The sequence below is a fragment of the Homo sapiens genome, chromosome 5 (genome assembly GCF_000001405.40).
Source record: "Homo sapiens chromosome 5, GRCh38.p14 Primary Assembly".
NCBI lineage: Eukaryota > Metazoa > Chordata > Mammalia > Primates > Hominidae > Homo > Homo sapiens.
This window is the reverse complement of record NC_000005.10, coordinates 152,661,961-152,687,708: the sequence shown is the minus strand read 5'-3', so window position 1 is coordinate 152,687,708 and position 25,748 is coordinate 152,661,961. Positions and strand designations below refer to the sequence as shown.

The window sequence follows — 25,748 nt, the reverse complement described above, 5'->3', positions numbered from 1 at the left end:
TTGTCTTTCTGTGCCTAGCTTATTTCACTTGGCATAATGTCCTCCAGTTTCATTCATAATGTCATGAATGACAGAATCTTCTTTTTAAAGGATGTATGTATCCCATTATGTATAAATATCACATTTTCTTTACTAATTCTTTCATTGATGGACCCTTAGATTGCTTTCCTATCTTACCTATTGTAAATAATGCTGAAATAAACATGGGAGTACAGCTATCCCTTCAACATATTGATTTTAATTTTTTAATGTAGACACTAATGATGTTTGACAGTTCTCTCTCAGTAGTGTCTATTGTACTTTCAGAGTTTTGTCTGGGTCTGCTGAGTCATAGGCATATAATGGCAGAGTGAAAAGAATAGTGCACAGGGATTCAGGAGACCAGGCCACTGGTGTCCTATTCCTGCCCCTAGTTATCCTGTAACCTTGAGGAAATCCCATCCCCTTTCTCAACCTGACTCTCCCCCATTGGTCTCTAGATGTTACTCTTCTGCCAGGTCTGCCCCACAGACCCTGGCCGATCGACAGATGAAAGGAGTACTCAGACACAGGTATGCAGTGTAAGAGCAGCTAGGGTACTGCCGTGCTCTAGTGGCCAAAGTGCAGCAGCCCCGAGAAGCTGGAGTTGCTTGCATTTACTCAGTGTAGGCACAATGCCAATAGCCTGGAGCAAACACAATCTGTGGGTAACCTTTATTGTGCCCCTTTCAGGGAAAGGGATGTGTGTGGATGATCAAAGGTCAGCTTTTGGTCAATTTAAGTAAACAAGCCTGTTTAAGATAAATTCCCCTACACTCCCTTGTATCTACTCCTTGCCCTCTGCCTCAGGGTTAGAAAACAGCTGCCTTCAGCTATTCTCCCCTGAAGCTATGCAGAGCCTTCCGACCTTTCCGAAGGCCTGTTCCTTTCTGAAGGCCTGCCTCTTTCCCTCTGGTTTCTCCCACCACTCTGACCCATCTCCTACACTCTTCTATGGCTATTCCCAGGTATGTGACTATGGCATAAACAAGACTGGCTTTGGGTTATGTGTAGTTCCTGGTACCTACTATAAATCTATTAATCTCTGAAAAGTTATAAACCCCTGATATTCACTGCCAGATATGAATGATTTTTTACACTTTTAATTTATCAATAGCAGAGACTACTTTTTAAATGGAATCTCACATGGAAGCCCAAATCTCTAGCACAAGAAAGTGAAGCCACTGTGTTTGGGAGGAAGGTTACAGCAACTGGCTACTCTCTCTTCTTTTATGATTCCTACAGTGATCCAAGAGACATCTTCGGGGGAAATCTGGAACTATCTGGAATGTGTTTTGTAAATGATTGGACTAGATGTTTTTCATAGATTTATCAATCTATGAGGCAGTACACTAGAATCAGGAAAGCACGATGTCATTAGAATGTCTATATACATCAATTAAGATCTCATGTATGTGGTATGGCAGCCAGGGACATACGCCATTTGGATCACTCTTAAGGAACTTGCTATTCAACTCTAAGAAATACAGTGAGCTGATACCCTCCAAATATTAGGAGCTTCAGGATCTGCCCCGTCCTTCCAGCTGATGCCACATTCCTCACCTGCATCCCCAGCCAATGACTCAGTATGATGGGGTTATCAGAGTTTGGCCATTTTTGCCCACTGTGGGTTATCTCTTGGCTCTGTGTCTTCCCAATGGGTGGTCCAAGACTTGTTAAATTTGCCCAATTCTATTTCCTCCACTTTTTATCCCTCACAAGTATTAACATTACAACCTCAGGTAACCTTTTACATCACTCTATAAAGCTTTCAGATGACCATAACAATACTGAATAGCACAGTATTGGTTTATTACAATAGGCATGAGACTTCCTTTCTACTAAAAACAAATGAGAGAATGAGGATGAGAGTAAGTGAATGAAAGGGAAAGGAAGAGGTCAGGCATTAATCATAGCATCTGGCACGTGATAAACGCTTGATAATCATTTCTCTTTTTGTCTGTACCTTATTAGCTATAACCTGCTGATTCAACACTAAGCCTGGCCAGCCAAGCTCCTGGATTCTCCAGGTGGTTGGCTAAAGTTATCTTTCTCCTGTTTTCAGTTAAGTCATGATTATCACAGGTCTCTACACCAAGTCCTCTGGGCGTCAATTTTGTCTTTGGTACTACGGACCTTTCTTCCCCCAGACTCTACTCTCAGTAGCTATATCCCTTATTCCTCTGTTGTGGAATCAGTTGTTAGTATACTGATTCCTGTTCTGCCCTCCTTTTCTTTAACTTATACACCTATCCATCAACAAATATCCTTATTAACTGTGATGTATAAAATGTCATATTTGCCACCATGGGGGGTAGAAGTCTCATTTAGACATTAATTTTGGCCTCAGGGTACTTATAGATGGTAATAGATTCCCATAAATTACATTCATACTTTATTATAATTATAAATACTCGTTAAGAGTATTTATAAGAGAAGTTCAGATGATGCTCAGTTAATACTCAGAGGATAAAATTAAAATATATATTTTTATATATGTAAACATATTTATATACATATTATATATAAATATATATATATTTTTCAAAGTTTCAATATCAGATGACTTCTGGGAGAAAGTTACATTCACAATGGGGCTAAGATATTAAGTCATTAGCAGAAAGCTGATCAATAAGCCAAAATAATATGAACTGCCATATGAATCAATCATCCCTTACTCCCTCTCCCAAGGTGGCAGTCAAGGGGCAAAGTACAGATCATAGAACTGAGAAATGTCTCATTAGAACCTTAATTTATGAAGCCAAAGTAGACGCAAATGCCAGGAAAAGCATCACCATGATGCACAGGTTTTTAGTCGCACAGGGTTATCCTCACACACCATCAGCACAGCCTTCAGACCACTGAGTTATTTCTGAAAATCTGTCATATGTTATTTTTTTTCCAGATGGTAGTCTGAAAGGGACAGAATGAGAGAGGGAGCTGGAGAAAGAAATGAATAAACACGAATGCATCTGGAGAATGAGGCATCTTGGAATCTGGAAAGTGAGGCATCCTGGAAGAGAGATGAAGGTAAAATTTTAAAGATAACGAAATTTTTAAAATTATACCCTCACCGTAAGTGAGGATGAGTTGAGGCACAAAGACACATTAGCTGAGATTTCTCCATGTAACCCAAGCATAGATAAAAATAACAAAAGAGGCCAACTCCACTGTATATTCTGAGAGTTCCACGTATGAAGAGTTGGGATTGGGACAGAATATGAGGAATGGAGAAAGGAGTGACTTCTAGTTCTTTTTATCAGTCCCGATAAAGGAATAAGAGAGAAACGAGACTTAAGTGGGCAGTCTTACAACCTCTAGAGATAAGCACCATAAATTAAAACAATCTTCCAGAGGCCATATTAAGAGATTACAGAATAAGTTGGTGACAGGGTGTGAAGCTACTTCTAGAAGATGGGGTGGTAGAAAGAGAGATGAAGAGTGGGTTAAAACAGAGGCTTAAATTTAGACTGACAAGTATGCATAAGTGTCATTTTATCTAAAAGCAGAATGGACTAAATGACATAAGGGTTGTTTTTTGTTTTTTTTTTTTTTCAGTGCAATAGCTATTTTACAGGTATGTTTGCCAGCTTGAAAGTTGAACATTAAGGTATTTCAAATCCAGGTCTTCATTTGCATATGGACAAACAAAAGCTAAAACAAAACCCCCCAAATATATACCTTGGGTTCTTGGCTTCCCTTTCTACTATTTCTCTCTTGCCGTGGATATAGGCAAACCCTATGCTTTTAGTCAGCCAAATATTTTGGTTCTCTGAACTACTCTAAACCAAGCAGTGTCATTAAATTGACTTGGGCCTGCTTTGGGGAAATGTACTTTTCTGTTAACTGTGGGCTTTCTTCCAGAGTTTGGGAATGTGGCTCAAACATTATCACCGGTGTTACCTAAGTTCAGCCTTGGAAAGCTATTTTGGAAACTGAAAATATGAACCTAACTTCATAATTATATGGAACCCGGAGGCTGTCTATATTTTATGATTTGAGAGAAATTTGGATTAGGAGTCTTTTACTCTCTGGCCTGGAAAACTCACAACAGGACAATCCTAAATGTACAGAGTAAAGAATAATGAAAGCAAAATTTGAGGCCACCACTGAGAATATTTTAGGTACTCCACAATTTCATTTTAAACCTGGGGCCATAAACAGTTGGCCTGCAGCATGCATGGAGGTTCAATGTTGCTTCTCTCCAACCTAGCTACAAGTAACAATTCTAAACTCACTCCCCAATATCACGTTGCAGCCCAAAATAGAAGCATTAACTTCTGACTTGTGCTTAATGCTTTCCTGCCTCCCTGTTCCCTTCTTCCACACCATAACACTGTCTCCCTGTTTGCAGAGTGTTCATGATCTAGCTCTACTGTGAATGTACCCTAACAATGAAGTCTTTTATAATTTTCCTAACCAGAATTAATGTTTCATTTTTTGAGATATTGTTAACATGCCCTAAAATTGATGCTTTTAAAGTGCATCCTTTTAAAGTCAGTGACTTTTAGAATATTCTCAAAGTTGTGCATTCAACACCAATAATTTTAGAATATTTTCATCACTCCAAAAAGAAATCTTGTTCCCATTAGCAGTCAGTCTCTATTCTACTTACCCCCCAGCCCTTAGCGGCCACTAATCTACTTTTTGTCTCTATGGATTTGCATATTCAGTACATTTAATACAAATGGAATCATAAAATGAGTGGCTTTCTGTGTCTGGTATTATTCACTTAGGATGTTTTCAAGATTTATCCATGTAGAGCATGAACCAGTACTCCATCCCTTTATATGGCTGATTTTCCCTTCTGTCAATATATTATATTTCTTAATTGATAGCCATTGAGTCATTTCCACTTTGAGTATTATTAATAATACTGACATGAACATGTATGTATGAGTTTTCATATGGGCATTTATTTCCATTTCTCTTGGGTAGACACCCAGCTAGGAGTAAAATAATCTGGATCATATAGTAACTCTACGTTTAGCCCATTGAGGAACTGCCAAACTGTTCACCAAACTGGCTGCACCATTTTACGTTCTTACCCAAAGTATATGAGCTTTCCAGTTTCTCCACATTCTCTCTAACACCTATTGTCTTTTTAAAATGGATTTATCCTAGTGGGTATGAAGTGATGATATCATTTGGTTTTGATTTGTATTTCCCTAATGATGGATGATGATGACTGTCTTTTCATAGCTCATTGGCCATTTGTATATATTCTTCAAAGAAATGTCTTTCTTCTTTAATTGACTTATTTACAGCTGTAAATTTCCCTCTAAGCACTACTTTAGTTGCATCCCATAATTTTGGCATGCTATTTTGTTTACATTCATTTTGAAGTGTTTTGTAATTCCCCTTGTGATTTTTTTCTTTGGCTTATTGTTGTTTAGGAGTATGTTGTTTAACTTCCACATGCTATTGAATTTCCCAAGTTTCCCTCTGTTACTGATTCCATTGTACTTGGAGAACATACTTTTTGTGATTTCAATCATTATACATCTATTGAAACTTGTTTTGTGGCCTAATATAGATTCTATCTTGAAAAGTATTCAGGAACACTTGATTTATTTTACTGTTGCTGGGTGGAGTACTCTACAGATAACTTTGTATGTAGTTTATTTATATTGTTGTTCAAGTCTTCTATTTTCTTGTCGATCATCTGTCTGGTTCTATCCATTGCTTAAATTGAGATATTGAAGTCTCCAATTATCATCAAATTTTCTGTTACTCACTTCAATTCTGTATGTTTCTACCTCGTGTATTTTGGGACTTTTTTGATGCTTATATAATTATTGTATATTTTTGGATGAATTGACTCATTATAAAATATTGCTCTTTATTGCTAGAACATGTTTATCTTAAAGTCTATTCTGTCTGATATTAGTCTAGCCCCACTCCGGCTCTCTTTTGCTTACTGTTTACATCGTGTTTCTTTTTACCACCCTTTAACTGTTAGCCTATTTTTGTGTTTGATGTAAAGTGTATGTCTTGTAGACAACATGTAGTGGCATCCTGGTTTCTTTTGATCCATTTTTCTAATTTCTGCTTCTTAATTTGAGAATTTAGTACAAATGGGATTACTGATAAGGTAAGGTAGGAATTATATTTGCCATGTTGTATTTATTTTCCTTATTTTTTGTTTCCTATCTTTCATTATTGCCTTCTTTGTGTTAAATAGATATTTTCAAGTGTACCATTTTAATCACCTTGTTTCCTTTACTACTAATTTATTTTCTTAGTGGTTACCCCAGGGATTATGTCAATGACCTTAATTTGAAACAATCTAGTTTATTTCAATCAATTTCAACCAGTATAGAAAAAATTGTTTCTGCATAGATCCAGTTCATCACCCTTCTTTGTGCTATTGTCATACAAATAACTTCTTTACACATGATATAACCATCAACACAAATTTATAATTATTTATGCAGTTTTTTAAATCAAATAGAATAAAACCCTTATAAACAAAAATATATTTAACCTGTATTTTATATTTACCTATGCAATTATTTTTACCGGTTATCTTCATTTATTTATGTGAATTAAAGTTACTTTCTAGTGTTTCTTCACATCAGCTGAAGGATTCATTTAGCATTTCTTATAGGAAAAGTCAAGTTAGTGAATTCTCAGTTTTTGTTCATCTGGTAATGTCTAAATTTATTTTTGAAGAATAGTTTGGTTGGATATAGATTCTTGGTTGACAGTCTTTCTCTTTTAGCATTTTGAATATGCCATTCCTCTGTCTTCTGGTCTCCATGATATCTGATGGCAAATCAGTTTTATTCTCTTTGAGTGAACACCCCCTTTAAATGATCAGTTTCTTCTCTTCTGATGCTTTTAAGATTTTTTCTGTCTTAGGTTTTCAACAGCTCAATCAATTATTATGGGTCTGAGCATGGATCTCTGAATTCATCTTATTTGGAGTTCTTGGACATGTTTTCAGCCGTTATTTCTTCAAATATTCTATCTCTCTCTATCCTCTTGGGGTTACCATTGTCTATATATTAGTGTGCTTGATGGACTGCACTCCTTCAACACTCTGCCAGGCAGTTAACAACCATGATTTAGCCTTTATCTCCCCCTTCTGCAGAAACTCAAGGTTAGCCAGAAGTAAGAGCTCAGGTGTTTCCAGGGCATTTTCATAGGCCCAAACATGTACACAGCCCTATGTGCATGTCTATGACCTTCTAGATTCTCTGAAATATATCAGAGCTTTTCAAAACACCCTTTGGATCTCTTATTCCCAAGATTTCCTTAAGCTTTTTGGTTAGCCTATTATTTTCCTCAACTGTTTCCCACTTCTTCAGGAGTTAAGCTTCCTGTTAGGTTAAATAAATAAAGCTTTGCTAGTGGGTTCTTCTAGGAAACCACCAAACAGATCAAATAATGACAATGCTCTGATAGTGGGACTTTGAAAGGGTTTTTGCCCCATTCTACTCCCTTTGGTGGTTCTTAGGCTGCTGGATTTTACCATGATTGCAGGCTATTTGGATTTCAAGACTTACTGTGGTGCTGGGGAGGGGAGGGGATGCAAATAGGAAAAATTAAGATGTCATAAAGCTCACTGTTCATACCTAGATTCAGCTGGTTATCTTAAATATTTTCAGGATTTCCATAAGCCTTTAATTAATTTTTAGAGTTTTGAAAAAGTTAATTCTGACAATTTATGCTGGTGTTCTTTCTGCTTTTATGGAGAAGAAAATTTTCAGACTGACACTTTTGTTAATATCCTTAGTCTTTCACTTTTAATGAACTTCTTCTATGGCACCAGTGAAACTAGGTATGCACACAATGGTAAATATACATATATATAACCAAAAGCAAGGAATTTAGATGACTGTGGGCTCAATAGAATGTTGTAGTTAGGATAGTAAATAGAATGAGCTAGGGAGATGGGAGATGGTGGTTTGTGAATGAAATGTTTAAAAATGAGGTTATGGAGGTATTGTGGTTATTGTTAATGATAAGGTATGTGGAATGAGTAAGAGAAAAAGACTGAAGAAGGAAACGTTAGAAACAAAGGCCAAGGTGTTGAACAATCCACTATGGTGAATTTTGACTTCACTAAAGATTATTCCAGAAGAAAGTTTAAATAGGGAAAAGCAGTGAACCAAAATCTTTAAGGAATGAGGGATAATGATGAAGTGTCATCTGACAATGACACTAAGGGGGCAACATGTATGTGAGGTCAATATAAGATTCCAATAGGTTTTTAGGTTAAAAAATAAATAAATAAGCATCTGGAAGTATCAATGAAGAGTAAGGAGGACATTTACTCCACCTCAGGGCCCTTGTAGAAGAGATATCGGGGAGAAAGAACCTATAGCAAGAGGGCTTCAAGGGTGGCCATATCCTCAGGAAAGATTCAGGTTTATATTAAGGGAAGAAGGTAATGAACATTTCTTGAAAACATCGAAGGCATGGGAAATTTGTTGCAGAAGCCCATGGGACACAGTGATCTAAGCACTTTGTGTATACTGACTGACTTATCAAATCCTTATAACAACCCTCTCAGGTAAGTAATATTTTTACTTCCATTTTGCTGATGAGAAAAAAAAACTAGGCACAAAAAGTTTTAGAAACTTATTCAAAGTGCTAGTAAGTGCCAGAGATGGAATCCATACCCAAGCCATCTGGCTTCAGGAGTCCACATATAACCCCAGCACTCCACTGCCTCTCACAAGTAAATTATAGACATTATAACTGATGGGATTGTAGCTACAGTTTCCAATGCTAATTCAGGGCAGCACACCAGCCCACTTGGAAGAGGAAATCTTTCACTCTCAGGTCATTTCCAACCCTCTCTAGGTAATGACTTTAAGAGTCATGACTGTTCATTTGTTCATCAAATAGTCACTTCACAGTGTTTCCAGCACTGTTCTAAGCTCTGGGATACAGTGTTGAAGAAAACAGATAAAACTGCTTTCAAGGAATTTGTATCCCAGTTGGGGAAGCAGATAGTAAATTATGTAGTAAGTTAAAGGACAATAAATGGAATAGAGAAAATAATGTACGGAAGGAGAATAGATTATGCATGTGTATTTGAGGGGGAGTTTGATTTTAAATATAGTAATTAGGGAAGACATCACTGAGAAAGAGTCATCTGAGCAAAGACCTGAAGGAGGAGATGAGAACAAACCATATGGCTATCTGGAGAAAGAGCACTGCAGTGCAGCAGAGAGAAAAGCCAGGACACACAGCAAGGAGGCCATTATGTCTAACTCAGAGTGATTCAAAGAGAAGGTTGGAGATTTGAAGCAGGGATGGGACATATTGCATGGGGCCTTACAGACTTTTGTAAAGACTTTGTGTTTTCTGAGTTAGATGGAGAGCCACTGCAGTGTTTTAAACAGGTAAATGCCACGATCTGACTGACAAATTTAAAGTATCATTATGGCTTATACATTGAGACTAGGATGTACGGAGTAAGGGTGGAGGAAACAGGCATCTAGAAGGCATTTACAATAATCAAGGTAAAATATGATGTTGACAGGGATCATAGTGGTATCAGTGGAGGGTGAGTAGCAGTAAGAATCTAGATATACATTGAACGTGGAGCATGAGATAAACAGGAGTCAGGTGACTTTATGGTTTTGGCTTAAGCAACTGAAAGGATAGAATTGTCATCGACTGAGATTGTAGATAACTATGGATGGAGTGGATTTGGCTGAGAAGCAGGGAGGTTGCTAGATTGGTTTGAGATATATTGAACTTGAGATGGCTATTAGCATCCAGATGAAGATATTAAATACAAAGATAGATGTCTGGAAGGTTCATCAGCACAAGAGAGTGAGTGTAGACAGAAAAGAGAAGTCCTAGGAATGAGCTCCTTTGTATTCCCTAACCATGAAGATGTCAGGAAGATGAAAAGAAACCAGCAAGGGTTAGTGTGAAGGAATGAAACCAGGACTATGTCTGTTTGGCAGCTAAAGGTAGAAAATGTTGGCCGTGTGTGGTGGCTCACACCTGTAATCCCAGCACTCTGGGACGCTGAAATGGGTCGATCAGCTGAGGTCAGGGGTTCAAGACCAGCCTGGTCAACATGGTGAAACCCCATCTCTACTAAAAATACAAGCAATAACTGGGCATGGTGCCAGGAGCCTGTAATCCCAGCTATTCGGGAGGCTGAGGTAGGAGATTCGCTTGAACCTGGGAGGCGGAGGTTGCAGTGAGCCAAGATCGCACCATTGCACTCCAGCCTGGGTGACAGAGGGAGACTCTGTCTCAAGAAAAAAAAAAAGGAGAAAATGTTTCAAGAAAGAGGGAGTGATCAATGCCACATGCTGCAATGTGTAGGTGACTGTTAGAAGAACAGTGTCTGGAATGGTGGGATGAAAACCTAATAAGGGTGGGTCAAGGAGAGAATTAAAGGAGAGGAATTGGAGACAATAAGCATAAACAAGTTTTTCTAGTAGCTTTGCTATAAAGAGGGCAGAGAAATGGGGTGGTAACTAACTGGGGGAGAAAATGAGGTCAGCAGATGTTTTTCAAGATGGGAAAACTGTTGTATTTGTGCATACTGATGGGAAAGAACTAGTAGATAAAGGGAAATAAATGTCAGGAAAGTGTGGGGAGAATGGCTGCAGTGTGTCATCAGGCTGCAGGGAAAGGGTCAAATGCTCTGGTGAAGGTGTGAGTCTTCAATAGGCGCAGATGGCTCATGTCAGGAAAGGAGATCCAGGCTCCTGGGGCAGACGGCCTGGGGTCACATCTAAGCCCACACATGCCTTTACTGCATATTTTTGAGTAAATTATTTAATCTCCCTGAACCTCTGTGGTGCTTGAAAAATATACCACAGAGTATCTAATGTATAGTAAGGGGTCAAATAGCTACTGTTGCTCTAAGAGAAAATAAACCTTCATAATTTGGCTAACGACAGAAGAAAAACTTTCAGCATACTGTCTGCATTGTCTACAGCATGTTTTCCAAAATTTGAGTTAATCCTCCTTCCTCTGACATATTCTCCAATGGCACACACAGATTTGTGTATTTTGCACACACTTTGCCTCGTCCATGTCATGGACTGCTCAGAAAGGTAATTATCCCAGCAAACTAAGCTGCATGAAAAGATAAACTGCTTAGTGGATTAAAATTGCATATTTTTTATAACCTGATGGCACAAACATCCTCGTTTCGCTTGTTGTGTGTCTCATAAATCTCTCCAGGACGTCTACTGCTGCTGCTTTGGAGTTTTTCCATCATCACCTTCTTTTCTCTGGCGGTGGTGAAACAGACTCAGAAAACATCTCCTCTGGCAGCACTATTCCCTGTCTCCAGGAGATGAGCTATGATGACACCCGCCTCTCACAGAGACACAGGGGTTGTGACAATTTAATAGACTGGAAAAATAATTGAGAGAGAAAACCAACAATTCTTCCCTCCCCTGGGGAGGAGGATGGGGTTTCATTAAGGGCTCAGATGCTTAGAAGCAGTTGGCTGTTATTACAAGGGCTTTCTGCTGGCAACCTTTATGTACTAGTGTTAATAAAAAAAGGCAAGTAGCTTAGTGCCATTTGCCACTGGAGCAGCCTTTCTAGCTTAGCTGCCACTGTAATGTCGCAGCCTCTATGCAGGTCCTGGCAGTTTTTCCAAAGGCATTAGAGAATCATTTGGGGAGCATTTGCTGACTGTCTATTTAACGGTCAGACAGAATAGGCTTAAGAAGAATTTAGGCTTCTAACTTCTTCTGACATCTGCTGACCTCATTTTCTCCCTCAGTTAGCTACCACCCCATTTCTCTGCTCCCTTTATAGCAAAGCACTAGAAAAACTTGTTTATGCTTATTGTCTCTAGTTCCTCTCCTTTAATTCTCTCCTTGACCCACCCTCATTAGGTTTTCGTCCTGCCATTCCAGACACTGTTCCTCTAACAGTCCCCTACACATTGCATCCTAGAAATCTTAAGCCTAGAAAATAGGCTTAAGAATGCAGTTAGAAAGGAGGAAGTATGGACATAAATTAAGTCAGGTACAAGAGGTATAAAGTAGGTACCCAGAGATCTTTATTCAGTTACAATACATTCCTCAGTTCTAAGATTCTATATATTTTTTAACTTTTCTTTTATGTTTAGGGGTACATGTGCAGTTTTGCTAGATAGTAAACTCATATCACAGGGGTTTGTTGTACACATTTTCGTCACCTAGGTACTACACCTAGTACCCATAGTTTGTGTTTTTTTATTCTTTCCCTCCTCCCACATCAGGTAGGCCCCAATGTCTGTTGTTCCCTTCTTTGTGTCCATGAGTTCTCATCATTTAGCTCCTACTTATGTGTGAAAACATGTGGTATTTGGTTTTCTCTTCCTGCAATAGCTTGCTAAGGATCATGGCCTCCAGCTCCATCCATGTTCCAAGAGATTCTATATTGTATAGGTCTGACTGCTTCAACAACCCTGCAGCCCACCTTGGCCACTCATCCTCCACTCCCATCCCAGTATAAGCATTAGGAGCACCTGAAGGCTAGTCCTCAAGATTGTGTATTTTTACACTTTCTACTGACTTTAGTTTCTTGTATTGCCTTGCCTTCTTGTTTCCTATTCCATTTCAGTGGCTATGGTGACTGACAAATAGTAGGTACGCAAATGCTAACTGAATAGCTAAAGTCTTGACACCAACTCAGTAGTTTTGTTATCAATGTCAACACAAGTAACTTCAGTTTTGAATCCACATATCAATTCTCTGCTGTCTAGACTAAAAAGTTCTATGACTTTAGTCTCCATGACTACAGAGTGTCTACATCCCCCATACTCAGAAAAGAGCCACATCACAGGCACCAAGTGAGTACTGATTGCCTGGCTAACTTCTATACATGTTCTAGAAGAATGAGGATGTACAAATGAGAAGGAATCCAGAAGAGTCTTATTAGATGAGAATATGTCCTCAGATTTTGTCAATGTGCTTGTATTCCAAGCACGCTACCAGCCCTAACTTTACTTTTGTGGAGTACCTCCTCACCCTTGCATCTACATTAGCTCTGAATGCACATTCCACATGCACATTCCACACTTCCACATAGTCATCATTGAGCTCCATAAAACAAACTGGCAAACTCACATGGCATGAAGGAGAGGGCATCCAGGATCATTTTAGATTCAAAAGCTGACTGGAAAAGTGATGATGTGAGACCTGACATCTTGACACTGGAATTGGTGTCCCTTGGGCTGCCAGGAAAGCTGCCTCCAGTATAGGAACACTTGCCATTTAGAAAATAGAACTTAACTGTGTGTGTGTTTTTTTCTCCTAGAAGGAAGAATCAAGAGGTGGAATTTATAGGAACACATATCTCAATTTAACACCATAAACCTACAAAAATTGAGGACTACTTTGTAATATAGCAAAATCACCCAAGGAAATATTCAAAAAAGGTCTAGGTGACTATCCAGAATATCAGAGAAAGCATTTCTGAGTCAGGGAAGTGATCAGTTAATAAGATATTTAAGATCTCTTTTAACTTGAAAAGGCAAGTGTCCAAGAAACATGTAAATCTATGACTATTAGAAGTATTATGATGATGTCTATTATTTATGAAGTACTTGATATTTGCCTGGCACTATGTGAAGCCCTTTAATTCACATCATTCCTGTAACAGATTTATGAAGTAGGCAATGTTCTAATACCCATATTAAAGGTAACAAAAATAGGTTAAGGTAACTTCCCCAAGGTTACCTACTAAGAACAGTAGTCTCCATGGTTACTTTCTTATAGTTTTAATTACCTATGGTCAACTGCAGTTGGAAAATATTAAGTAGAAAATTTCAGAAATAAGAAATTCATGAGTTTTAAACGTGCACTCTTCTAAGTAGTGTGATGAAATATTGAGCCATCTCATGCTGTTCTGTTCTGTGAATCATCCCTTTCTCCACTGGATCCAAGCTTTAGACCCTACTCACCCATTGTGACTTAGTAGCTGTCACAGTTATCTGATCAACTCACAGTGCTTCTGTCAGGTAACTTTTATTCTACTTAATAATTAACTCACAGCCCAAGAGTAGTGATGCCAATGATATGCCAAAGAGAAGCTGTCAAGTGTTTTCTTTAAGAGAGAAGGTGAAAGTTCTCAACTTAAGGAAAGAAAACAAAATCATATGCTGAGGTTGCTAAGATCTGCAGTAAGAATGAATTTTCTATCTGTGACATTGTAAAGAAGAAAAAAGAAATTTGAGATAGTTTTGCTGTTGCACCTCAAAAATGGCAAAAGTTATGGCTACAGTGCATGATTGGTGTTTAGTTAAGATGGGAAAGGCACCAAATTTGTATGTGGAAAACAAAACCACAGATGTTCTGATTGATGATAATTAGGTTTGGTACTGTCTGGAGGTTCAGGCTTTCACTGGGGTTCTTTGAATGTATGTCCCATGGGTAAGTTGGGAATACTATAACTATCAGAGCTAGGATTCAAACCCAGGCACTGTGACTCCAGAACCTAAATTGTTAACCACTAAATGCACTGCTTCCTCTTAAGAGAGAAAATAATTAGCTCCTAGGAGTGGTGAAGCTCTTAATTTTAAATCGAAAAACTAAAAAGCCTTCTCTGAAAAAGGATGTTTTAAGCTGGGACTTAGAAAGTTAGTTATGGAGTAGGGGTAAAAGCCTCCCATGAGCAGGGAGTGTCATACAACACTGAAAGTGGGGTCCTTTCAAAGAACCAGAAGGAGATAACTATAATAGGAACAAATTGAAGAATAAAGAAAGTGATTCACAACAAGGCAAAATCTCTGGGCTGGTGTAAGGTCACACAGGCTGTGCTTAAGGACTTTGGATTGTACTCTAAGTACAGCAGGGAGTTCTATGACATACTAAGGATGGATATCATCAGCTCATTTTGCAGATAGAGGAGAAAACCTGGTGAAGGGAATTAAATTCCCAGAGTCCTTAGAAGGCTGTTATGATTGAGAAATTATTATTGTTGTCAGCCATTGGGGGATTGTTCGTTACTGTGTCATAACCATGCAAAAGTGGACTAGTACTACATGTAAGAGTTAGATACAGAAGGGCTGTGAGAATGGAAAGAGTTGTGTGGCTAAAAACAAACATTTACAAAGACCCTGGGGAAGGAAAGGGGTGTGACATGTTGGAGAGCTCAAAAGGTTGGTGCTTCCGGATCCAAGGAGGGAGGGAGTGGCTCTAAAGGAAACTGAAAAATCAGTCTGGGGCCACATCATGTAAGGCCTTGTAGGTATTTCAAAATTTTAGATTTAATCCTAAGTGCGTTAGAAGACCAAGGATCAACAAGATAATCTTTATGAAAGTGATAGTTTTACTTTGCAAGCTGTAAAGCAATAGCAGATATAATGTACTTTTCATTAAAGATAAAAGACCTTTTCAGCCTGGAACATTGAAAGTCACAATCATCCTAATTCTTCACTCCTAATTTCTCTAGCACACATCTCTTCCACAAAAGGATATTCTCCTAAGTAGCCACAACATCATAATCACATTTAACAAAATAAAAAAAAAATTGAATTTTTACAAAATTTTAGAATAAAATTTCATGGGAATAAATAAAAGCCTGAGCCTCACAGAAGGGACAGTCCCAAATATAACAAAGATTATTTTAATTCCTACTTATTTGATGAGAAACACTTTAATTTAACCCAAGCATATTAAAGCTGTAAGATTCCACAGAAATCACGTAATTTTAAAACTATCATTCTTAGTAAGAAGACATATATATGCCACAAGTTATTGATTGACACAGCTGGGCCTAGAAATGTTTTTTACCTTTAGCTCCATCCAACACCATCATCTCTATGTACCACTAAGAAAGCTTGGGGATTTTCCCTTATTTTCAAGGGCAACAAGGGAATCAATTTAAGCCAAGTCCTACCAAGAATTACTTTCTCTCCAGATAATCCATTTTTAATAAATCAGTCTGAAGTGTAGCACTCCATTAACATGCTTCATCTCTGTCAGCATTCCAGAGGTGTTCAGTTGGCATGGTTAATTCCCAAACATTCATCTTACCTCTGTAACAAGTGGCTAAACCCAGATATAATTTAGAGCCTTGGACCTAGTCATGAGGCACTGTTTAAAGCCAGTGTTTTATCCATGAGCCCAATGGGAATATTGCTTATGACAGTTTAATACAGCTGCAGTATTAGAGCAATTTATTTTCAGAAACCTACACCAATGCTTTCTTTTTCTACTCCTCTAAATGCCACAATGAGATATGTTTTTATGAGCCATAGGAAGTCTCATAGTGCAGGAGAAGAAGAATAAGATTATGAACTGTTGCTATATTACCTACGAGTTTCAGTAGATGTCAGTTCAACAGCACAATAAATCAATAACTGTATATGCATTTCAAAATATACATTGACTTAGAGGCTTCCTGTCTTCTCAGAGAACATGTTCGAAACAACTTACTTGGGAACTGTAGGCCCTCCATCATTTCTCCTCCCACTCACTCTCTGTTCATGTTATCTCTTTTGTACTCCAGACCTCTATCTCTAACTCCTCATGAGCCAACACCTGACACTTGTATTGAAAGATGGTTATTCGAACATCCCTTCCATGTGAATGTCCCATAAAAGCATCAAATTCAGTGGGCCACTGTTTGGTTTTAAGTACAATAACTGATCATCCCTCTTTCCCCATTAACTTTATAACTTGGGAAAAAAACACAGGAGGAAGATATGGTACAAAATATTAGCCTATTCCTGGTAAAATTGGATAGGAGGAGTCCTGGGGCTGATTCCAAATTGCAATTTCTAACCCCCTCAGACATCCCAAATTATATTTAACTACTGAGTCACATGCCAAGAAACACAAACATTGCAGGCTTCCTCCTGCTGCCTCTATTCCCAGGTACCTTACCTATTCTAATTTGTAGTTGTTTTCTTCTTCTTCTTCCTTCTTCTTCTTCTTCGTCTTCTTCTTCTTTTCTCTTCTTCTCCTTTTCTTCCTCTTCCTCCTCTTCTTCTTCGACGGAGTTTCACTCTTTCGCCAAGGCTGGAGTGAAGTGGCACAATCTCGGCTCACTGCAACCTCCACCCGCCGGGTTCAAGCAATTCTCCTGACTCAGCCTCCCGAGTAGCTGGGATTATAGGTGCCTGCCACCACGCCCAGCTAATTTTTGTATTTTTAGTAGAAACAAAGCTTCACCATGTTGGCCAGGCTGGTCTCGAACTCCTGACCTCAGGTGATCTGCCCACCTTGGCCTCCACAAGTGCTGGGATTACAGGTTTGAGCCACTATGCCCAGCCTTCTAATTTGTAGTCTTAAATCGCACTCTGTGGTTTGGGTGCTGTCTTGAGTTAGATTGTAGGCCTATGTGAACTTGAGTGTTACTTACCTCCTCACAAGACCTTTCTCACTTAGCCTTGAGTTTCTGTTTGGAGTCCCGTGGATTAAGGATGGTATGAATCTTACTGCTAGTCAAGTCAAATTGATCACCTGGAAAAGCCTGAGATAGTCCATGAATTTAAGCAAATTGTAATTTAATTATCTATCTAAATATGAACATGATTTTGCTTACAAAATATTGTCAATTCATGTATAATCAAGGACCATTATATTTGGTGTATAAGATTGTTTTGTCTTTTGTTTTCTGGGCAGTTAGGAAGGAGAGAGGGAGAGAGGAATGTGTGTGTGCATGCATGTATGTGTTGTGACAGAAAAGACAATATTCCCTTATTTCCAATATCTGATTGCAAATTCCAATTTACTTATTCTTTACAAGTAGATAATTTTAAAAAATTGATAGATGAATATTAATGAAGTCCAACTTACCATTCTGTTTTCTTATGGTTAGTGCTGTTTGTGCCCTGTTTGACAATTATTTGCCTACCTACCTACCTCAAGATCAGATGTTTATCTATCAGAGAAGATATTCTCCTACATATTATTTTCTAGAAATTTGTTTTTTTTCATATTTAGATCCATGATCAAATAGAAATTGAATGTTTATGATTTAAGGTAGCAGATGAGCTTTACAACTAGGGCAATTGTGCTGGAACCATTTATTGACAAAACTTCATTTCTATAAGTCAAGTGACTGAATATGTATCCACTTGTTCTGAGACTCTATAGGCTGTTCGACTGATCAATTTATCAACTCCCTACCGATATCATTCTGTTTTAATTTCTGTAGCTAATTTGTCTTGATTTCTGGCAGAATAGACTCTCTTACTGTATTCTTTAAAATCAGCTTGTCAGTTTCTACAGAAAAAAAAAATCCCTGATATTATTTTTACTGATATTATACTGAGCCTATATAGCAACGTGGAAGAGAAATGACATCCGTAAAATAGTAAGGCATCTAATTCATGAACATTAAATAACTTTTCATGTATTTTGGTGTTCTTTAGTTTATCTCAGTAATATTTTCTAGTTTTCTGAGGAATGTTGTGTATCTCCTGTTATTTATTCCTAGATATCTAATGTTGTTTGAATTCCAATTTCAGTGGTTTCAAAAATTTATTTATTTATTTTATAATTGTTGTTAGTATATGCAAATGCAATTGATTTTTATATTTCACGTCTTAATATTCCCCTTTTATTCCTAAAATTTTGGGATTATTCTTTAAAATATTTTAAACCTTTTCTTCATGCTGTTTTAATTGATGAGTTAACATTGTACGTATTCCTTTGTACAGCATATTTTAAAATAAGTATGCATGGTGGAATGGCTACATCAAACTAACATATGTATTTCTTCAAACACCTTTTTTTTGTGGTGAGAACACTTAAAATCTACTCTTAGTGATTTTCAAGAATATAAGACATTGTTACTAATGATAGTCAGTGTGTTATACATTAGAATTCTTAAACTTATTACCTCTAGCTAACTGAAATTTTGTATCATTTGACCAAACAACATCTCTCCAGTCCCCGTCCCAGCCCCTGGTAACCATCATTTTCTTCCGTGCTTCTTTGAGCTCAATTTTTTTTTATTCTATATATAAGCTACATTATGTAATATTTGCCTTTCTGTGCCTGGCTTATTTAATGTAATGACTTCCAAGTTCATCCATGTTGTCTCAAATGATAGAATTTCTCTTCCTTTTTAAAGGTTAATAGTATTCCGTTATGTATATATATCATTTTTCTTTACTCATTCCTTGATGGTCACATAGGTTGATTCCATATCTTGACAACTGCAAATAATGATGCAAGGAATATGAGAGTGCAGAGTTCCATTTGAGATATTGACTTCATTTCCTTTGGATATATACCTAAAGTGGAATTACTAGATCATATGATAGTTTTATCTCTATTGTTTAGAAAAACTTCCACAATATTTTCAGTATTGGCTGTACTAATCTAACTAACACTTGTCCAACTAACTGTCTAACTAACAGAGTCCAACTAACACTTGTTTTGTCTTTAAGTAGCCATTCTAACAGGAGTGGGGTGATATCTTGTTATAGTTTTCACTTGCAATTCTCTGATGATTAGTGATGTTGAACATTGTTTCACATATCTGGCCATTTGTGTAACTTCTTTTGCTAAATGTCTATTCAGGTTCTTTGTCCACTTTTAATTGGAATATTTAAGTTCCTTATATATTTTGCTTTCTATTAAGTTCCTTATATATAGGATATTAATTCCTTACTAGATATACGGTTTGCAAGTATTTTTTCCCTAATCCATGAGTTATCTCTTCACCCTGTTGATTGTTTTCTTGGCTATGCAGAGGCTTTTTAGTTTCATGTAATCTCATTTGTCGATTTTTGCTTTTCTTACCTGTGCTTTTGAGGTCATATTCAAAAAATCATTGCCTACACCAATGTCATAGAATTTTCCTCCTATTTGTTCTTCTAGTTGTTTCACAAGTTCAGGTCTTCTGTTTATAAATTTATTCTAGTTTGAACTGAGTTTTGTATAAAATGTTCAGATAAGGGTTTAATTCCATTCTTCTACATATGGATATACAGTTTCTCCAACACTATTTATTTAGGAGGCTACTCTTTCCCCATTGTATATTCTTGGCACATTTGTTGAAAATAGACTGTAAATGCATGACCTTATTTCTGAGCTCTATATTCTGTTTCATTGATCTGTTGTCTGCTTATACATCAGCAGTATGTTGCTTTGTGTAGCATCTTTTGAAAATGGGCAGCCTAATATTACCAGCTTTGTTCTATTACTGAAGATTGCTTTGGCTATTTGGGGCCTTTTGTGTTTTCACACAAATTTTAGGATTTTTTTCTATTTCTGCAAAAAATACCTTTGGAATTTTGATAGAGATTGCATTGAATCTGTACATTTCCTTGAGTAATGTATTTTAACCATACTCTTCTAATTTATGAAAATAAGATATCTTTTCATTTAGTTGTGCCTTCAATTTTTTAAATTAATGCTTTTAGTTTTTCATGTGTATAGTTATTTTACCTCATTGGTTAAATTTGTTTTCGAATATTTTAGTCTTTCTGATACTATTATAAATGAGATCATTTTCTTGATTTTCTTTTCAGATGGTTAATTATTTATGTAGAAATGCTACTGGTTTTTGCATGTTGACTTTGTGTCCTGAAACTTTGCTGTCCAGTAAGTCCTCATTTAACACCATCAGTGGCTTTCAGAAAGAATGACTTTAAATGAAATGACATATGACAGGTCCTTGAATAAAGTAGATTCCTTCAATGTTGTTTAATTATAATGTTGAGAAAAAATGGTTTCATTATAGGTCATTTCACTTAAAGTTGCAGTTTCCAAGAATCTTTTGACAAGATTGAGGCCTTGCTGTATTCATTTATTTCTTCTAGCAGGTTTTTTTTTTTAACAGATCTTTAAAGTTTTCTGTATATAAAATCGTATTATCAGTAAATAGTGACAATTTCACTTCTTTCTCTCCTGTTGAATGCCTCTTTTTTCTTTCTTTTGCCTCATTGCTTTGGTTAGAATGGTCCAGTACTATGTTGAATAGAAATGATGAGAGTGGGCTGGGTGTGGTGGCTCACACCTGTAATCCCAGCTACTCAGGAGTCTGGGGCAGGGGAAATCACTTGAACCTGGTAGGCAGAGGTTGCAGTGAGCCGAGATCGCACCACCGCACTCCAGCCTGGCAACAGAACGAGACTCCATCTCAAAAAAAGAAAAGAAAAGAAAGAAAGAAATGATGAGAGTGAGCAGCCTTATCTTGCTCCTGGTCTTAGAGGAAAAGCTTTCAACTTTTCACCAGTAAGGATGATGTCAGCTGTGGGGTTGTCACACATGGCCTTTATTGTGTTGAAGTATATTCCTTTGAAACCTAATCTACTGAGATATTTTATTATGAAACTATGTTGAATTTCATCAAGTGCCTTTTATGCATCTATGAAGATGATCATCAGAGTTTTGTGCTTCATTCTGTTAATGTGGTATTATCACATTTACTGATTTGTATATGTTGAATCACCCTTGCATCCCTGGGATAAGTCCCAGTTGATCATGGTGAATGATCATTTTAATGTGTTTTTGAATTTTGTTTTTAATGTGTTTTAGTATTTTGTTGTGAAATTTTGTATCTGTATCAGGGATATTGGCCTATAATTTTCTTTTCCTGTAGTGTCCTTGTGTGGATTTGGTATCAGGGTAATGCTGGCCTCATGAAATGGGTTGGGAAATATTGCTTCCTCTTAGATTTTTTTGAAGAATTTGAGAAAGATTAGTATTTATTTATTCTTTTATTTTTATTTTTGTAGAAATAGGTTCTCACTCTGTTGCCCAGGCTGGAGTACCGTGGCTATTGACAGGCATAATCATAGCATCTTACAGCCTTGGACTCCTAGCCTCAAGTGATCCTCTTGGCTCAGCCTCCCAAGTAGCTGGGACTACAGGTGCATGCCACTACGCCCAGTTCTTCTTTAAATATTTGGTAGAATTTATCAGTAAAGACATCAGGTCCTGGGCTTTTCTTAGATGTGATACTTTTTCATCGCTGAATCAATGTTTTTCTTCGTTATTGACCTCTTTGGATTTTCTTGATGACTCAGTCTTTGTAAGTTGTTTGTATCTAGGAATTTATCCATTACTTTTAGGTTATCAAATCTATTGTTGCTTAGAGTCTCTTATGATCCTCTTTGTTGGTGGTATTTCTTCTTTCATTTCTGATTTCATTTGGGTCTTTTTAGAAGTCTACCTAAAGATTTGTAGATTTTATTTTTCTAAAAAATCCCTAGTTTTGTTGATTTTTAAATTATTTTTCTAGTCTCTAATCTCTATTATTTTCTTCCTTAAGCTAACTTTTGGACTTAATTTGCTCTTTTTGTAATTTCTTGAAGTGTAATATTGGGTCATTTACTTAAGGTCTTTCTTGATGTACACATTTATCACTGTAAACTGTCATCTTAAACTGCCTTTGCTGTACCCCATGTTTTGGCATGTTGCATGCCCATTTTCATTTGTTTCAAGGTATTTTATGATATTCCTTTTAGTGGTTTTACAGTAGCAAGTTGTTTCATTTCTATGTTTTTTGTAAATTTTCTAAATTTTCAACTGTTATTGATTTCTAGTTTCATACCGTGTGATCAGAAAAGATAGCTGATATAATTCCAATCTTCTTGAATTTGTTAAGGCTTGTTTTGTGGTCTACCCTAGAAAATGTTCCATGTGTGCTTGACAGAAATGTATATTCTGTTGCTGTTAGATGGAATGTTCTATATACGTCTTGTGAGGTCCATTTAGTTTAAAGTGTAATTCAAGTCAGTTTGAATGATCTGTTCATTGCTGAAAGTGGGATATTAAAGTCCCCTACATAATTTCAGTGTACTCTATTTCTCCCTTCTGATCCATTAATATTTGCTTTATCTATTTAGGTGTTCCAATGTTAGGTACATATATATTTACAAATGTTATATCCTCTTGATTAATAAGTCTCTTTATATAAATGATGTTCTTTGTCTCATTTTGCAGTTTTTGACTTAAAATCTACTTTATCTTATATAAGTGCAGCTATCTCTGCTCTCATTTTTTCTTCTTACATGGCATATCTTTTTTTATCCCTTCACTGTCAATTTGTAACCTTAATAGTGAAATGCTTCTACTGTAGGCAACATGTAGTTGTGTATTTTTCCCCCCAATTCAGCCACTTGGTCTTTTGATTGGAAGATTTATTTACATTGAAACACACCCAGCTAATTTTTGTATTTGTAGTACAAATTTTTGTATTTTTAGTATTCACTATGTTGGCCAGGCTGGTCTCAAACTTCTGACCTCAGGTTATCTGCCTGCCTCAGCTTCCCAAAGTGCCAGGATTACAGCCATGAGCCACTGTGCCTCGCCTACTACGAGGTTTTAGTTTGTATTTACTATGAGGCTTACATAAAACATAATTATAACTGGCTATTTTAAGCTAATAACTTTGATTGCATAAACAATTCTACACTTTTATTTCACCTGCTCCCAAAATTTTATGTTTTCAATGTCACAATATACATTTTATATTGTGCATTCCCTTTAAATTATTGTAGATACTATTTTTTGTATTTTCGTATTTTTCCTTATACTAAAAATATGTGATTCACATACCACCGTGGGCATATTCTGGAAAAAAAAAGTGTACTTACTTTTACCAGTGAGTTATATGTTTTCATATGTTTTCTTATTGATTTCCATCCTTTTCCTTCAGCTTAAAGAATTTCCTTTAGCATTTCTTGTAAGGCAGATCTGGTGGTAATGAACTCTCTCAGCTTTTGTTTGGCCGGGAGAGTCTTTATCTCTCCTTCATTTTTGAAGGACATCTTTGCCAGAAAAAAATATTCTTGATCATAGTTGTGTTGTTTTGCTTTGTTTTTCTACAATTTTTTAACATATCGTTTCCTCGATGGTGAGGCTTCTGCTGAGAAATATGCTTGCCTTATTGGAACTCCATTATATCTAATATGCTTATCTTTTGCTGCTTTTGAGATCCCCTACTTATCTTTGATTTTTGTTAGTTTGATTATAAAATATGCCTTGGAGTTGTCTTGTTTGGATTAAATCTTCTTGGACACATTTGACGTTCCTATCCCTGGATAGGTATATCTTTCCCAATATTTGAAAAGTTTTCTGCTATTATTTCTTTAAGTAAGCTTTCTGCCCTCTTTCTCTTCTCCTACACAAACTCCAATAACGAATATTTGCTCTTTTTATGCTGCCCCACAAATCCGTAACTTTTTAGAATGAAGAAAGCCTTCTTAATTTCTTTTCATTCTCTTCTCTTTTTTCTCCTCTAATTGTATATTTTCAAATAATTTTCTTTGAGTTTACTGATTCTTCTGTATCATCAATCCGCTATTGCATGTTGACATGTTCTATTGCTTTTAAAATTTCATTTTATGGTTTTTGGTTCCAGGATTTGTTTGATTTTTTTAAAGTGCTTTGATCTCTGTTAAGTTTCTAATTTTGGTCACTTATTCCTTGAGTTTTTTCCCTGTATTTGATGCTTACTGAACTTCCTTAAAACAACCAGGTTACATTCTGAGAAATGTGATGTTATGCAATTTTGTCATTTATGTGAACATCAGAGTGTACTTATACAAACCTAGATGGTATAGCCTATTGCTCCTAGGCTAAAAACCTTTATAGCATGTTACTGTACCATAGGCAGTTGTAACACAATTGTATGTATTTGTGTATCTAAACACAGACAAGGTATGGTAGAAATATGGTATGAAAGATTTTTAAAGTGGTATGCTATTTTAAAAATCTAGAGGCCACTTGCTGTGAATGGGGACTGCAGGACTGGAAGTGGCTCCGAGTGAGTCAGTGATTGGTGAAGGCCTAGGACATTATTGTATACTACTGTAGACTTCATAAACATTGTACAGTTAGGCTACACTAAATTTATTTTTTAAATTTTCTTTCTTCAGCTTACTGTAACTTTCTACTTCATAAATTTTAAATTTTTTTAACTCACACTTACGTTTATCACAAACACCTTGTACAGTTGGACAAAAATATTTTCTTTAAATCATCATTCTATATGTGTTTATTTTTTTTTTGTACTTTTTAAATGTTTTTGTTAAAAACAGACATATACATTAGCCTAAGCTTATACAAGGTCAGTATCATAAATATCACTGTCTTCTACCTCCATATCTTGTCCTACTGGACTGCCTTTGGGAGCAGTAACATGAATAGAGATTTCACTTCCTAGGATAGCAATGCCTTCTTCCGGAATACCTCTATCAATAACATATTTATTATCTTTGTCAAATATTTTGTACTATACGTATGTGCAATACTTTTATATACTGGCAAGGCAGTGGGTTTATTTACACAAGCATCACCACAAACATATAGTGCATTGTGTTACAAAGTTATGATGGTTACAGTATCACTAGGCAATAGGAATTTTTCAGCTCCATTATAATTGAAGGGAGCACTATCATACATGTGCTTCATCATTGACCAAAACGTCCTTATGTGGTGCATGACTGTCCTTTGTCAGGCAGTTTGTATGTCTCCAATTTTTAGAAGTTAGCTATTGGGAAATTGTATTCTTTTGATGGTATTATATCTCCTTGTTTTTTAATGTTTTCTCATTGCTTTATATTCATGTTTGTGTGTTTGAAGAAGTAGGAACTTATTGTAGTGCTTGCAGACTGGTGAAGGGCTTTCCCAGACAATGCCAATCACCCTGTCCTGATATTCTGAACAGACTATCAGATGTGGTCCATCAGCAGGCAGGAAGGTCTGGCACCTGAATCTATGTCATTGGACCTAGAGACTGTACCCATGGGGGTTGGCCTGAAGCCTGGATCTACAGAAGCGTGGGGGTAGGCCTTGAGCCTGAGTCTACAGGGGCCAGCCTGGAACCAA

At 36.8% G+C, this 25,748-nt stretch overlaps 1 long non-coding RNA gene across 1 annotated transcript in view, besides 1 other annotated feature; it reads left to right on the top strand.

Moving 5' to 3' along the window:
• LINC01470 (long intergenic non-protein coding RNA 1470) overlaps positions 1 to 25,748 on the top strand; it is a 353,385-nt gene that overhangs the window by 284,641 nt on the left and 42,996 nt on the right. The window contains exon 4 of the long non-coding RNA NR_109877.1: positions 2,924 to 3,048. This is a non-coding gene — a long non-coding RNA (long intergenic non-protein coding RNA 1470). The remainder of the gene's footprint in view (positions 1 to 2,923; positions 3,049 to 25,748) is intronic.
• Positions 2,752 to 2,921: an enhancer, noted in NCBI's record as "experimental_83100 CRE fragment used in MPRA reporter constructs". NCBI's record gives its function as "activates a minimal promoter by MPRAs in K562 erythroleukemia cells, with activity observed for both the introgressed and non-introgressed 5:152064433 variant alleles {active_cell/tissue: K562}" and the evidence as "EXISTENCE:reporter gene assay evidence [ECO:0000049][PMID:34662402]".